The following is a 17,496-nucleotide window of genomic DNA, read 5'->3' as shown; positions in this document are numbered from 1 at the left end:
TAGTACATCTAATATGGGAAACAGTATGGGGTAAAAATTAAAATATAACTACCATATGATCCAGGAATCCTTCTACTGGGTATTTATCCAAAGAAATTGAAATTAGTATGGCAGAGAGATATCCACACTCCCTATGTTTATTGCAGCACTATTCACAATGGCCAAGATACAGAATCAAACTATGGTCCATCAGTGGATGACTGGATAAAGAAAATGTGGTGTATAACACACAATGGAATACTACTGGGCCATGAAAAAGAAGAAAATTCTGTTTTTATGCAACAACATGGATAAACGTAGAGACATTATGTTAAATGAAATTTCAGGCACAGAAAGACAAATATGACTGATCTCATTCATAGGTAGAATCTAAAAATGTTTATATTTCATTGATAAAGAGTTGAAAGGCGGCTACCAGAGGCTAGAATGATTATGCAGGGTTGGCTATAGGGAGATGTTAGTAAAAGGATACATATTTACAGTTACACAAGAGGAATATGTTCAAGGGATCTACTGTACACACTGTACAGCATGGCGACTATAGCTAATGATGATATATTGAATTCTTGAAAAATGCTGAGAGTGAATAAGTGTCCTTACCACAAAAATGATAACCATGTAAGTTAATTTGTTAATTAGATAGATTTAACCATTCCACATGTATATATACTTCAAAATGTGTTACACATGATAAATAAATACAATATCATTTAAAAAATAATAAATTTGAAAAACAATTAAAAAGAAGGCTCCTCAATTAAACCAAGCCAAGGATATTCTGCTTAGAAAGTCAGTCTACTCAGGAAACTCCTATGGATCAAAGATTTTGTAACCATAGTATCTATAAAACCTATCATCTGTGCCTTAAAACACAGGTTGCTTTTATCCATAGAAAATTTTTCCACATTGAATCCCCCACAACGGTTCAATAACCACGACTCCTAATAACTCCACACAAACATGCCCCTCTCCCCCAACAAGATACAAACTATGGAAAATCAATCAATCTTTATTCTGGATTAATGAAGCTAAAGCATAATACAAAGACAAGTTCATATTACCTCACTTAGATCATGCTGTTTATGAATAATAAGGGATCTACTCACTGCTACTCAATGCTGTTCCTCCTTGCTATCAAAAAATTCATATTTAAAACCTAAGACCTGCTGTGATAGTATTAAGAGGTTGGACTTTTGCGAAGTTATTAAGTCATGAGGCTCCACCCTCGTGAACAGAATTAATGCCCTTCTTAAAAAGGCACAGAAAAACCTCCCTTCTTCCTTCTCCCATGTGAAGACGCAGCAAGGCATTATCTATGAAGCAGAGAGCAAGCCCTTACCAACAATGACTCTACACCTTAACCTTAAACTTCTCATCCTCCAGACTGTAAACTAGTTCAACCATTGTGGAAGACAGTGTGGCGATTCCTCAAGGATCTAGAACTAGAAATACCATTTGACCCAGCCATCCCATTACTGGGTATACCCAAAGGATTATAAATCATGCTACTATAAAGACACACGCATACGTATGCTTATTGTGGCACTATTCACAATAGCAAGGACTTGGAACCAACCCAAATGTCCATCAGTGATAGACTGGATTAAGAAAATGTGGCACATATACACCACGGAATACCATGCAGCCATAAAAAAGGATGAGTTCATGTCGTTTGTAGGGACATGGATGAAGCTGGAAACCAAACACCACATGTTCTCACTCATAGGTGGGAATTGAACAATGAGAACACTTGGACACAGGATGGGGAACAGCACACACCAGGGCCTGTCGTGGGATGGGGGAAGCGGGGAGGGATAGCATTAGGAGATATACCTAATGTAAATGACGAGCTAATGGGTGCAGCACACCAACATGGCACATGTATACATATGTGACAAACCTGCACATTGTGCACATGTACCCTAAAACTTAAAGTATAATAAAATAAACTTCTCATCCTCCAGAACCATAAGCAATAAATTCTTCTTACTTATAAATTACTCATTCTAAGGTATTTGGTAAAAGCAGCCCAAATAGACTAAGAAACCACCCCAGAAAATACATGCCCTAAATAATAGAGAGTGAGTAAAATGTTTCAGAATAGATCACCCACATCTGATATTTGAAGAAAATTTCTGAATATTCTTCTATCCTCAAATTTTGTCCTATGGGAAATTAGAAAAATTGGCTGAATCATAGAATATCTGCCAAATATATTCTAGACCAATTCGTCTGGTCAATTATTCAGTTACATTGACAATAAGGAAGTTAATGAAATTCTGAGAGGTAACCACAATAAAAACTTATCATATTAAAATGGTGTCAGGACCAGCAATCAGGATATCCCCATTGCTAGTGAATGAAGTTAAACCCTCACCTTATACCATATGAACAACTTAACTTAAAATCACTGATCTAAATGTAAAAGATAAAACTATAAATTTTAAGAAAACATAGGCATAAATATTCAGAACCATGGATTTGGCAGTATTTTCTTAAATATGATACCAAAAGCACAAGTAACAAAAAAAATAAAAGATAATTCGGACTTTATCAACTTTAAAAACTCTTGTGCTTCAAAGGCTACTATTAAGAAAGTGAAAACACAACGCTCAAAATGGGAGATACTATCATTTAGAATTATATATCTAATAAGGTCTTGTATCTAAAATATAAGAACAATTATAACTCAATAATAAAAAGACTAACAACTATTTAAAAATTAGCAAAGGATATGAATAGACACTTCTCCAAAGAATATATACAAATCGTCAGTAATCACATGAAAAGGTGCTCATCATCATTAGTTATCAGGAAAATGCAAACACACACACACACACACACACACACACACACACACACACACACACATACAGCATGAGATACTATTTTCTACACACTAAGGTGGTTGTAACTGAAAAGACAAATAACAACAAATGTTGGTGAGGATGTGGAGAAATCAGAATCCTCATACACTGCTGATGAGAATGTAAAGTGCTGCCACTTTGGAAAACATCTGGGCCGTTCCTCATAAAATTAAACATAAAGGTTCCATTTGACTTAGCAACTCCACTCCTAGGTATATAACTAAGAGAAATGAAAACACATGTCCATATGAAAACTTGTAAATTAATATCTATAGCAGCACTGTCCATGATTGCCAAAAGATGGAAACAATGTACATATAAACTGATAAAAATCAACTAATAGATAAAATGTGACATATCTATACAATGGAATGTTATTTGGCCACAAAAAGTGATGAAGTACTGATATATACTGCAACGTTGATGAACCCTGAAAATATCATGCAAAGTGAAAGACGACAGTTACAAAAGACTACATAAGATTCCATTCATATAAAATGTCCAGAATAGAAACATCTATAGAGACAGAGTAACTTAGTGGTTGCCTAAAGCTGAAATGGATGGAGGAATTAGGAGTTGATGGCTGAAGGGTGCAGGGTTTCTTTTTGGCGGGTGTTGAAAATGTCATAAAATTGATCCTGGTTATAGTTGCACAACTCTGTGAATATACTAAAAACTATTGAATTCTATATTTTAAATGGGTAAATTGTATACATGATGTATGAACTACACCTCAATAAAACTGTTACCAGAAAGAAAGAAATACAGAAAAGAAAGGAAAATGCACAGGGCTAGAAATACTCTGATCTCTCAAGGAGGAACCTATGCTGTACATGGAGAGAAATGTAATAATAGCCCTGTTGGTCTGAGCACTGTCCTTATCATACCCTTAAACAAACCACTGTTCATGTAACTACACGATAATCAGACGTTGCCTACTATCTCTGCCCTATAATTACAAGTTAAAGATTGGCTAGTTAGAGAATTGTGAAGCTAACTGCAAAATTTGCATGAGTCAGTGTCTATGTTTGTGCACTGAAACTACAATTGGGCAAATCGTATGTGTCTGTAACCCATCTGGAAATCAAATTAATAACCTTGAGTGAGAAAATCACAAAGCAAACTTACTTAGTCAACTCTGTATCTCAAAGGAATGAATAAGGAACTTAAAGGGGAAAAAATAAAATTTTGTCCTATGTTTCCTCAGCCTGGAAAAGCTTTGCATTTCTTAATTAAAGAGATTGGTTTCCAAGATGAGTATGAGTAAAATGAACTTCCTAATACTAGCTATGAATTACAAAGGCATCCAAAGAACAGATGCGTTTGTAATTGGGTGACAGGGCAATCTCACAAACACTGGGATTATTGCTATTATTTTATCTGCCATAGGACCAATTAGGCTATGCACATAGAAGGTGCTTAATGAGTAATTGCTCAAATGGAAAAGAATGAGATTGTAAAAACCAATTAAAAACAAGGAAATTTTTATACTTGTTTATCAAAACTCACTGTCTTCTGTCAAGTCAGGACTAAACATTACGCATCTGGAATTGGAACTGCCATGTAACTATTTTGAGTTCTAAATACCCTGTGTTGTATTTAATCATGGGCCCCTTGCATTGAAAATCCTGGCCCCCTTACATGCAAGTGAAAATTCTATTATTCCTTTTCCAAAAATTGTGTATGCATTTGCTTTAAATAAGGTCAAAGTATCAACTTCCCATTGCATTTTAAAATAAAATAAGGATATCCTACCTAAATTCTATAATTGTTATGTCAATATTGAATATTTTTCTCTTATAGTCAAACTGATGTGAAAATGATGGAGAAGAATCAGAACACGAGAAGATGATAAAACTGGAATGGCAGGAGGATTAGAGAGGATAAATTCTATTTTAAATTTTAGTTTTGGAACAAGAAGCCTTTAAAGTTGAAATACTTCAAGGAAATACAATTTTGAACTTGGTCAATAATTGCTTGTCCAAACTTCTTGATATAGCTGATGTTATTTCATTCTTTTCCCTCTCTTTTTTGCTTTCCAAATTGCCATTTTAGCTCTCTCTTGACTGACATATTCCGTCAGTCACCGATTTTTAATGATGCCCCCGACATGGGTGCCTTCCATTTGAGCCTTACTGTTGCCATCACAGCCCAGGATCTCAGCATCACTTTAAACATCCTGTATAACATGTGTGAGTTTCATTTCCCCAATGACCTCCATAAAATCAAAGACTTTGCTGTTATTTTATTAACTGTAGACCCATATAGTCTATGCACATAGCAAGCGCTGAGTAAGTGTTTATTGAACTGGAGTGAGAGAGGTTTTGAAATTAATCAAACTAAACTTGAAAATAAAAATACTGAAAACGTAAACAATACACTGTATGGTCACTAAGACTCAAGTCCACATTTTACAACCTATGTTTCCATCACTTAATGCCTGAGAGATGTTAAATTTCAAGGTATATCAGAAACTTGGTTAATTAAAGGAGACTCGTAAGTATTTGCAGTAGGCCAAGTTACTGTTTTAGTATCAATTAAAAATGTCATCTGGAAAATGAATAACATGGAAATTTTAGTCTTCATCGATCCAGACTGCCTTTCCCCAAACAATAAAACAATCATATCATTAAAAATTAAGTACTTATGTTTCATCCAATAACTGAGTAAATATTAATTACAATATTGACACAACATAGAGTTCAAGAGCTAACTAAAACTGATATAAGCAATTGGGTAGGCATTTGTTTATTTCAACTGCTTAAGTGATGGTTATTTATGAACCCACCTCATTGGTTTTAGAGAAAACCTATATATTCAAATGCCTGCTTCATCACTCAGTAGTTGTGTGATCTTGAGCAAGTATTCTTTTTTAACCCCACAAAACCTCAGTTGTTTAATCTAAGAACCAGTGATAAAATTGCATATAGCTGTTGAAAGGATTAAATGGACTATGAATATAAATACTTAGCAGAGCACCTGGACCAAAGAAGGTTTCAGTAAATGTTAAGAAATGTTATTGAAACCTGTTTTTATTATTTGGATGATTGTTTTTCACTTTAAATTTTACTTCTTCCTTTGGCTGTCATTTAGCCTTTTCTCAAATTGCCATTCTTAGAAGCTTCTAGATAACACACTGATCCTCACGCCCCACCCTGACTCCTGACTACCCTTTTTCCACTCTTGAGACTTATTACTGCTTAGACACTGAGACATTAATACAAAATTAAAATACAAGAGTATTGTGAAGAAGAAAAATCAGTAGGTAGAGATCCACTGCTTAGCAGGTAAGGGAAGTAGCTTGAGAAAGAAAAACCTTGAAGGAAAATTGTGTTGAATAAAGACACTTTATAGCAAGAAAGGAGCTAATGAAGACAGTAGGAGGGAAACAAGAGGATATCATGAGAGAGGAGACAAAATTTAAAATGGAAAAAATGACTGATACAGTAAGGTCCCAGAAAAGATAGGAAAGAGTGGAATCAAGAGTACAGATAAATGGATCAGTTCTACAAAAAAATTATACATCTTCCAAGAAATCAGAATAAAGGAGCTAATGGATTAAGATATGGAAAGAAATTTAGTTGCAGAAAGAAGTTGGGACTAGGTTGTCAGATAAAATATGAGACACCTAGTTAATTACAAATTTGAGATGAACAACAAATACATTTTTAGTATAAGTATCTTCCAAATGTTGCATGGGAAATACCTAGATTAAAATATATTTAGTTTATTTGAAATTCAAATGTAACTGGTTTCCTGTATTTTTACTCGCTTAATCTGACAATTCTATGTGTTAATACAATTTATCTTTTCCTTCACTACCATATTCAGTCTTTTTTTATATGTTTATATAAACTTTTGAGTTCATTTTTATGACCTATTTATACTCAGTAAAGCTGTATAAGAATTTACTTAGAATAAAGATTTAGGGAAGGGAGAGAGACATGTTGAGAGTGGCAAAAAATGTAAAAGTAATAGTAAGAAAAGGCATAGTATGTACTCAGAATAGAATTGTAAACAGTTAGGTGAGAAATTCTGAGTGTCTAGGCCAAACGTTCATCTTCTTTATTTTAGGAAATTAATCTAAATCTTAGGGGTTGTTTGCATTTTATCTTCCAGTAGATCAACATCTAGCATTACTCTTCATTCTCATTCTCCACAGTTAACCCTCCCCATTGTTGAAACCAGAATTAGTTTCCTCAGGATCCTTGGTCCCTAAGAAAATGAAGTTCTTTTTGTCCCAATCCCAGGTCCAAGCAGTTCTACTTAATTACTCTCCATAGTATCTCAAGTCCCGATTTAAAGACCTCTAAAGATTCTTCTAAGAACCACTTTCTTCACTGTCTCTTAATGCATTGCTTTTCTCTGCCTGGAAAGGTTCCTTTTTAGCTGCCGGTCACTTTAAAATCTTTCTTAGCCACCTACTGTATTCCAGTCAATTAACAATTTCTAGTCTGGCAACACCTAGGGCAACTCTATAATCGTGAGTATTACCTCCCACATCCTCATCCATTACATCACATATTCTGAAGACCCCAAGCTAAAACCATATCCTTTCACATCTCCACCTCCAGAATCACCACCTGGATATCTGGCACATAGAATAAATATATTCAACATTTATTGGTGACTGACTACACTGTCACCATACTCAATGATGACAAATCACATTTTTATTCACCAGCTTTGCCATATTTTAAAACTGTTTAACCTCAAAGCAGAAATATTCAAAAGACAGATTTCAGCAACTATAGAGGCAGAATGAAAAGACATGCTCAAACTTTCAAATCGCCTCATGGATTGTCACCCTATTGGATGTACTTGTCATATAACATCCCAACTGTAAATGAAATATCTGGTAAACAGCCCTTGAGGGGTTAAATAAGATTTTTTAGAGTCCAATTTGATCTAAGAGCACCTGATTCAGCTTACCTAAGAGTTCATTTTTTATCTTCATACTTTGGATAATTTTCTATTAATGTTTATGACACTCAACTCCATAACATATAATTGAACTATTTGTGATGCATTAATCTTCTTTTTAGATTAGCAAAAAGTGATTTATCAAAGAGAAAATTTAGACTTATATTAGAACATGCTTAAAAAATCATAAGACGTTTTCAGATCACTTGAATACTGTTCTCTGAATCTTTACACTTTTCAACCGAAGACCAAACTCAGAGACATTAAAGAACATGTTTTTGGAATGCATTTTAAATCTCTTACCAGAGACCAGAATTTAATTTCCTTAAGCTTTCTGAGAGAGATTAAGGAAATTGTTTTTCAATTACATGAAATAGATGCCAATTTTAAATATATAAAACACTAGCTATAATTTCGTTTAATCAGAGCCTTAGGAATTGTGGGTGAAAAATGGCATGAAGTGGGATAAGGTTCTCAAATTCTGCATCTGCATTCAGATAATAGTGATATTTCTCCAGTTACACTTAGGTACTCTACCATTAACACAGCATTTTCCCAACTTGAAGGAAACAAGCATGTGGGAAAATATTGATGTTTTAAATTTCAAGTTATTTTTCTCTGTGCGTGTGTGCGTGTGTGTGTGTTTCTAACATCAGCTTATGTTCATATATTCTAGAATGTAACAAATTATTTAATTGACATGAAATTTTATTTGCATTTAAATAAAGCAAGTTAGCAGGGCATTTCATGTTTCTTTTTAAAGAGCTCCAAGAGTTCTTTGATCTCTGCAATCTGAGCACTTGTAAGAAAACTGGAAAGGGCACAGTCAGGTTGCAGGGACCTAGGCGTTACTCCCAGATCAATCATTATTTCATTATGTAAACTTAAGCAAGTTCATTTATTTTTCTGGACCTCAATCTCCTCAAATATAAAATAAGGACTTGCATTAGTTTAGTGTATTTTAAACATTTTTTAACTTCCAAACAGCTACTTTAAAACAAAATATTACCAAGAAATATAAACAAATAAAATAAAAACAAATCATCTTTGGTTTTGGTTAAACAGTACGGGTAAAAGGGGAGAGCCCCAAATCACTCCCTTTGTCTAACAATGCTCAACATCTACTCCCAGAAAATGCCATACAACATTTATTATTATATATTATTCTTCCTTTAACCATAGGGGTAAATAAGCTCTAAAATCTTCCCCATATTTACCAAGAAATTATTTCACTAATTGCAAATATACTACAATAAACTTACTACATGACAGTCTATTAAGTTCATACAAACTTAATAATACTGGCTTCAAGACTCAATGTTAGAGGTAACATAAAGCCCTGGAGACCATCTACAAGCACAAAGCGGATCGCCACGATAGTGAAGGAAAAATCTGAGTTGGTCAAATATGATCATCAGGGGATACATAGTAAACGAACCCAAGATTTCCACAAAGCAAAGGCTCTGTCAAGGAAACATGAGAAAACTGAGGCTTGCCCCTTGTACTTACAGGGACCAGGCAAGAATATGATTGCAGGCCCATATACTACATGTCTGAATATTTAAGAGTTAATAATTAACATTTTAAGTCAAAATTATTAAAAATAGCTACTTTTTTCCTTACTAGTGGGAATTTTCACAACAAATGCTGAAAATGGCAGTCATTTTTAATATCACCCACATCAATGGTGGTCAGTGACTGTGACCTCCTGCCTACAGCCTCTCCAAACCTCATTCCCAAAAATCTTTCTACATTTATGAAGCCCTAACTCCTATTAAACCCTTTTATTCCCATATTCCTGACAAAACTCAAACTGATATGCCTTGTTGGTATGGAAAGTGTTCTAGGGATAATAGTCTTAAGAATAAGAATCTGGAATTGGTTCTCTGATTGATTAAATTTGAAGAGAGTAATGACCGGCCGGGCGTCGTGACTCACGCCTATAATCCCAGCACTTTGGGATGCAGAGGCAGGCAGATCACCTGAGGTCAGGAGTTCAACACCACCTGGCCAACATGGCGAAATCCCGTCTGTACAAAACTACAAAAAAAATTAGCCGGGCATGATGGCAGGTGCCTGTAATCTCAGCTACTCAGGTGGCCAAGGCAGGAGAATTGCTTGAACCTGGGAGGCGGAGGTTGCAGTGAGCCAAGATCAGGCCATTGCACTCCAGCCTGGGCAACAGAGCAAGACTCCACCTCTAAATAAATAAATAAATAAGAACCTTACAATGATTACACATGGTCAGAGAACTGAAAGGTCTCACAAAATTCCTCAGAATACATTCACACAAATGTATATATAAGCAAAGTGAATGGTAGATGGGAAGAAAGCCAGCACAGGAAGATCCAGAGGCTCGAAGGACTTCCAGGCAGAGCTCTCCAGGTTCCTTCCTCAATTGCACAGGACGAGCCTTACTTCAGGCTTATAAGCCATCAAGATATGTGTGAGGATTCTTAGTGTTTCAGGAGAGCTCAGGCAAAGGATTCCCCTGGGGTCTTCTGTGCCCCACTCACCACATAGCCAAAACCAGCCGGTGTAACTGGCTAAATCAGGTGTAACTCATTAATTTGCACCCCCTTAAAAATGTAAAAAAGTCGGTTCTGGCTTCCACCAAGGAAATTTTGAACTTTTAATAGCACTTTCAACATTACTACTCTACCTATCATTATCTTGCTTAGGTGTCAATACAAGACTTCCAGATTTCCCAGAGATAAGAACAGATGTGTCCCAGTACAGCTGTAAGATAACGATAACTCTGTCTTACAAAGACCCCATTGGCACTCACAGTCCATGACAAGGAGTGGCAAAACAAAAAGGAAAACTGCGTTGCCAAAGGGACCATAGAGATTATGGCCACCAACAAGGATTTACAAGACAGAGCAACAGTTATTTGTTTCACATACCCATTGAACTCACCTATTCAGCCAGACGAATCTTGGAGAATTACAGGAAAATGTCATAAATTAATTGAGGAGTGACTCCAATTAACAGCTGCTACTCCAGAAAATCAACAAAAACTCTACTACCTGATACGCAACTGCTGATCTGTGAATTATCTTTCTCCCTCTCCCTTTCCACCTCTGTATCTTTTCTTTTTTTAAACAAAGGAAGGGGCAGCAATACGCCTCTTCTCCCTTCTTTCAGGAATATATTAACTTTCCAGACTATTGTTTTAATCTAGGGTATAAGGATCTTAATAATCTGGCCATTCCACTGACCATGACAGCAGTCCATTAAATGTTGATTGCCTTGGTGAGCAGAAAGTAACAAATACTCTAGATCAGTATTAGGCAAAGCGTAATCTCCATACTGGTGGGGATTTAAAGGTTATTTGTCATTAATCTGCAATGAATTAAGTACTGAAATTCAGATTAAGCATTTAGAAATTTTACAGCAATTTGACAGCATAACTTTATGTCTGTTAAAATTTTGTTTATATATATATATATATATATATATATAATTTTTTTTTTTTTTGAGACAGAGTCTCGCTCTGTCGCCCAGGCTGGAGTGCAGTGGTGCAATCTCAGCTCACTGCAAGCTCTGCCTCCTGGGTTCACACCATTCTCCTGCCTCAGCCTCCCGAGCAGTTGGGACCACAGGCGCCCACCACCACGCCCGGCTAATTTTTTGTATCTTTAGACGACGGGGTTTCACCGTGTTAGCCAGGATGGTCTCGATCTCCTGACCTCGTGATCTGCCCTCTTTGGCCTCCCAAAGTGCTGGGATTACAGGCATAAGCCACCCTGCCCCACTTGTTAATATTCTAAAATTTAAACTTGTATTTTGTACTTCTTTATAATTTTATTTTTCCTCATTTTTATTGTATTTTACAAAAGTGGCAGTCTGGATGGGTTGAAAATTTTAAAATTTTTTAAAAATTACATACCACAGATAATTTGAAAAATATTGCCCCAAAGTAAAGCTCTACAAACTACCCTAATTTTGCACAGCTCATTAGCTAAGAATGATTTTTACATTTTTAAAGGGTTGGAAGAAGAAAGGGAGGAAAAGGAGAAGGAGAAAGAGAGGGCACAAGAGGAGGAGGAAGGTGAAAAAGAAGAGACAGAGATTGTTTGTGATCTATAAAGCCTAAAATATTTACTAAATGGCCCTTTACAGAAAAATTTATCCAATCCCTTGCTAGACACTTTGATTGCACACATGTATGACAAAGCATGTGAAATAAACCCCTCAATAAATCAGGATACTGTAGCTTCGATAAAGTTTCCATCCTTTTAGTGGTTTAGGCATGTCAATGTATCAGCTCAGAGGTGAAGAGACAGCTGGTATATCTGGTACCCACCACCACCAAGAAAGAAGCACAATGCCTGTGGCCTCTTTCAGCTTTGAAGGCAACATATGTCAGAGTTGGGCATGAAGGCTTCTGGGATACATTGATCAAACAACTTGTAAGATTTCTAGTTTTTAATCCAGAGTAAGGAAAGAAAAGGCTCTGTGACAGGTCCACATTGCTCTGCAAGCTGCTCAGCCATTTGTGCCATATGATACAGTGCTCCAGTACAAGAGGTATCTGACAGAGATGTGTATGAGCCTTCGGCAAGACCCTAAAGATAAATTACCATGCAGACCCCTGGGATTCTGGCGTAAATCATACCCTTTTCTGCATAAACCCATTCTCCTTTTGAATTACAGCTTCTGCTATACACTGGGCCCAGAATACATGGCATAAGCCACAGAGTTACTATGTAACCTGAACTGCTCATCATAAGTTGAGCACTCTCTGAACTACAAAGCCATAAAGATTGAAGTGGGTGACAGCAATAGATTAGCAAGCAGAAGTGCTGTATTTGAGACTGGGTCCTGAAGATACCTCAGTTGCATGCGCAAGTGATTTAAACTCCTCTGTTGTCTACTCCTATTGCAATACCTCTTCTTCCTCACCTCACATTATGGCCTCAGGGAATCTTCTCTTCACTGGAAGGGGAAAAACAGTTGGGCATGGCTTATAAACGGTTCTAGAAGGTAATGTAAAACCACTCAAATGGATGGTAGCAGGAGTCTTGAAGGGGAACTTTTTAAAGGATATCCTTCTTGCCGGTAGACCTTTGAGCAGTTATCTGCTTTGTCTGAAAGAAGAGTGAAGATGAGTGATGAATCTCCACTTATTTGTGGGCAGTTGTTAACAACTTAGCTGAATGGCTGGGGATTTTTAAAAAGCTACATGGAAAAATTGGAAAAACTGTGAAAAGATGTGGATGAATCAGAATGAGCACAAAATGTGAGCGATATTTGTGTCTCATGTAACTCTAGCAGGGTAAACACAGCAGAACAGGCTCCTCAATGAGATGGACAAAATATTCTATTCTGTGTGTATCAACCATGGCCAGAGTTGTGGAGAGTAAGTGTAGGCTCAGAAACATGCATTTTCATTCACCATGGCTGATATGGCTACAAGCGTTGCTGAGAGAGCAACTTGTTAGCAACATAGGCACAAGTTCTGAGTTCCCACTAGGCAAACTATGACTACCTGATGTACTTGCAGAGGGCGGGGATGCCCAGTCCCCAGGCCATAGACCAGTATTGAGTCAGTGGCTGTTAGGAGCTGGGGTGCACAGCAGGAGGTAAGTGGCATCTGGGCAAGCTTTACTACCTGAGTTCTGTCTCCTGTCAAATCTGCAGTAGCATTAGATTCTCATAGAAGTGGGAACCCTATTGTGAACTGCGCACGTGAGGGAACTAGGTTGTGTGGTCCTAATGAGAATCTAATGCCTGATGATCTGAGGTGGAACAGTTCCATCCAGAAACCATCCCTTCCCCTGCCCCACAAGTTCACGGGAAAACTGTTTTCCACAAAACCAGTCCTTGGTGCCAAAAAGGTTGAGGACCACTGGTTTAGGGCAAAAAACAATTATGCACTGGGTAATGGGAGAGGGTATCCAGAATCTTTTTGCCCTAGGCCAGCGGTCCCCAACCTTTTTGGCACCAAGGACCCATTTCATGGAAGACAATTTGGTATTTTCATACCATAAATACCAACAACAGCCATGTGACAAATTGCTAGTAAAAAAAAAAAAAAAGCTAGTAATTTTCTTTATTCTTTGATAGGTACATATTTGCATAAATTAACCTCCACCTCCATCCTCATACCACCAAGTATAAAATATGCTCAAAGTAGTCAACTCTATATTTCAATATTGAAATCATGAACTATCTGAGATGAATAAAGTGACATCTGAGCTTTGGCATTTTCCCTTTTGGGAAAAAGAATGTGTACACTTGAATTAAGGTTAATTGCATAGTATTAGTTGGAAGCAAGATGTTGTATTTGCCTTTATTCCGAAATTAAATATAGGGAGAAGTGTCATGCACGGTTGCTGAGTTGACAAAGGAGTGCATTGTGTTCAGTTCTCTGCTGTCAACTCACCATCACCCCTTCTCTCTGCCTCATCTTGCAGAGTAGTCAGGAACTACATTTTCCAGGATCCACAACTTTGTATAGTTCTGAGTTATAGTTTTTCAATTAGAAAAACTCCTGTGGTACTTTGCAGGCAGAATGGAGGGGAGATCATTATTCTTAGGAGTTCATGGTGTCTAGAATTATGGGCAGATGAGGATGCACTGTGGCTTCCCAGGCAATTCAGAGGCACTCACATTTCTGTGGTAGCCTGACAGTTGGTAGGAAGATTCCCAGAGATACTGATATTGCAGAAGTTTCCTAATAACCTTTTAGAAATCATGTGTTTTATTGCTTCAGCGTAACTATTAGTGACCATTTCCCTGACCCTCCAGTTGAAGATTTTCCAGTGTTCACTCTCTCAGCTCTTCCCCATATTGTGTTAACCCTAATTCCTTTAATAAATGTCCTTTTTTCATAACACCTAAAGTGGTCCTAACCAAACCTAAATTGATACAAATTATTTGCCTTTTAAAAAATCTATGTGCTTTTGCCACTCAGATCCTCTCTCATTTCAAAGCACTATCCATCTGTGACACTGGCAGCAGCACAACTCACAAACTTTTATAGCATTTGGACATAATTGCCTTTTGTTTTGAAAACACAGGGCAAGACATAGAGAAGTGCTTTCTCTGAGGCCTGAACAGTGTTAATCATGAGAATGAATGTTCATGGTTTCAGATTATACTGTGCCAGTGCTAAGTTCTGGATCCCAAGTGACAGAAGTAAACACATGTTCTTTAAAAAAGTTAATAAAAATTGCATATATTTATCATGTCCAACACGTTTTGAAACGTACATAGTGGAATAATGAAGTCAAGCTAATTAATTAATGCATTACTTCACATACTTATTTTTTGTGGTGAGAATATGAAATCTTCTCTTAGTCATTCTCAAGAATATAACATGCTGTTATTAGGTATAGTGACCACGCTATACAACAGGTATCTTGAAACTCTTCCTCCTATCTAACTGAAATTTTGTCTCTTTGGACAAATATCTCTTCAAGCTCCCTAACCCATAGTTCCTGGTAACCACCATTCTATTCTCTACTTCTATGAGATAAACCTTTTGAGACTCCACAGGTAAGTGAGATCATACAGTAGTTGGTCTTTCTGTGCTTAATGTGATGTTTTCCAGGTTCCTCCACGTTGTTGCAAATAACAGGATTGCCTTCTTTTTTAAGGCTGAATAGTATTCCATTGTGTATGTATATCACATTTTCTTTATCCATTCATTCACTGATGCACTCAGGTTGATTCTGTATCTTGGCGATTGTGAATAATGCTGCAATAAACACAGGAGTGTAGATATATCTTTGACATACTTATGTCATATCTTTTGGATATATACCCAGTAGTGGAATTGCCAGATCATATGGTAATTCTATTTTTAATAATTTTAGGAACCTCAATATCATTTTCCATAATGACTCTACTAATTTGCATTTCCATCAACAGTATCCAAGGGTTCTCTTCACATCCTCTCCAACATTTGTTATCTTTCATCTTCACTGTAATAGTCTAACAGGTACAAGGTGATATAATATCACGTTATTTAACAAATGTAATCTCTGTGTTTTTGTGTGATACATGAGGCCTCATAAAGTGCAGGACCTGGAACAGGGGTCTGCCTTGCCCAGTCTAAAGGTAAAATTCTAAGAGTAAGAATCATCTGGCCAGGAAGACTATGAAAGGAAGTTGTAGAGTTGCCGTATCTTCCAGTCTGTATGTTATCATCATTTTGGAAGCTGTCACAGTCAGAAACTGAAATGTATTGTTTATATATTTCTGTAAAGCCATTGAAATGTATGTGGTGATTCATTTATGTTTGTCCATAAACAAAAGCAACCTACATGAAATTAGTCACAAGAGCAGTAAGTCACAATCTCCCTTTGTTACATCAAAAGGCCCAGATGAACCTGCCATATGCCCTCAGGGTGATTCATTGGAGGTAAAAAGGCCCATAAATTGTTTTACGCCTTATAGAATTATACATCAAAAATGCTTCAATAAATTTACTTAAAGTAGCCCACTGAGAAACCAACCAAACTACTCATATACTGCACTGTGTTTGTTGGACACTTTCTACTGCATCAGAGTTACCTAAACCCATACAGAAGACATCAATGTCTATCCCAGCAGTAAAGAAGATTTTGGGTTCCTTTCAATCCTAAAATTAAAGGGATAGAAAAAAACATGTTGAGAGATTTTCAAGCGCATCAAGATTAGCCTTAAATTGCTCCAAGGAGAACAGAATCTCTTCTAGAGAAGGGATATCCCTTCTTTCTCTGCTACCATTCTACTGTCAAGTATCATTTGAACTCTCAGATGTGACTCTAACCTATGTCATTTCTGTTGCTATTTTCTGTCCTTTGTTCCACAGTAGACAAGGACAGTTTGTATACTCTTTGTCAATGAATACTTTGAGATTGACTTATTTATATGTCCAGTTGTCCCTCTGTATCTCCTGGGAATTGGTTCCAGGACCCCTATGGATACCAAAACTCACAGATGCTAGGTACCTTGTATAAAATGGCATAGGATTTGCATAGAACCTACACACAGTTTCGTGTACTTTTTTTTTTTTTTTTTTTTTTGAGATGGAGTCTTGCACTGTTGCCTGGGCTGGAGTGCAATGACACCAAATTGGCTCACTGCAACCTCCCCCTCCCGGGTTCACGATTCTCCTGCCTCAGCCTCCCGAGTAGCTGGGATTACAGGCACACACCACCACACCTGGCTAATTTATTGTATCCTGTACTCTTTAAATTACATCTATATTACTTATAATACCTAATACAATCTAAATGCGACGTAAGTAGTTGTTATACTTTATTATTGTATTGTTATTTTTTACTGTTCTTTTTTTCCAAGTATTTTCAATCTTGGTTAAATCTACAGATGCAGAACCCACAGATACAGAGGGCAGACTGTATGTAATAACATATATGTGACCTTGAAGCCTAGATTCACTCATTCAACAACTTATAAATTCCTCCTATGTTACTGAGATATGCATTGTAAAAATAAACAAAACAGCTCAAATCTAAATTGTAAGCCTAAACAGTGTCATCTTTTACCTCTTTAGTCTTTGAATGTAGAGAAATTGCAAAGTAACATTGTGCCCTGGCTTTCTACTTTTTGATTGAATCCCTAATGGAAATAAACTGCTGATGTTATCTTTTACTTCTTAAACAATAAGAGGTAATGATGAAATAAACAATGAGGTAATAATGAAATAATGTCATCATTTCCCTCTTTAGTCTTTTACAGTTTACAAACT

At 36.6% G+C, this 17,496-nt stretch overlaps 2 long non-coding RNA genes across 2 annotated transcripts in view; both read right to left on the bottom strand.

Annotated features, from left to right (window-relative positions):
* The window catches only part of LINC01317 (long intergenic non-protein coding RNA 1317), a 590,861-nt gene that overhangs the window by 213,150 nt on the left and 360,215 nt on the right, over positions 1–17,496 (bottom strand). The window lies entirely within an intron of this gene.
* LINC01318 (long intergenic non-protein coding RNA 1318) lies at positions 15,047–17,371 on the bottom strand. The gene is made up of 3 exons (NR_132381.1): positions 17,294–17,371; positions 16,317–16,383; positions 15,047–15,498 (listed from the first exon to the last, which is right to left on the bottom strand). It is a non-coding gene; the product is annotated as a long intergenic non-protein coding RNA 1318 (long non-coding RNA).

Source organism: Homo sapiens, chromosome 2 (assembly GCF_000001405.40).
Source record: "Homo sapiens chromosome 2, GRCh38.p14 Primary Assembly".
NCBI lineage: Eukaryota > Metazoa > Chordata > Mammalia > Primates > Hominidae > Homo > Homo sapiens.
Note: the sequence above shows the minus strand (reverse complement) of the source record. Positions and strands in the feature narration are given on the sequence as shown.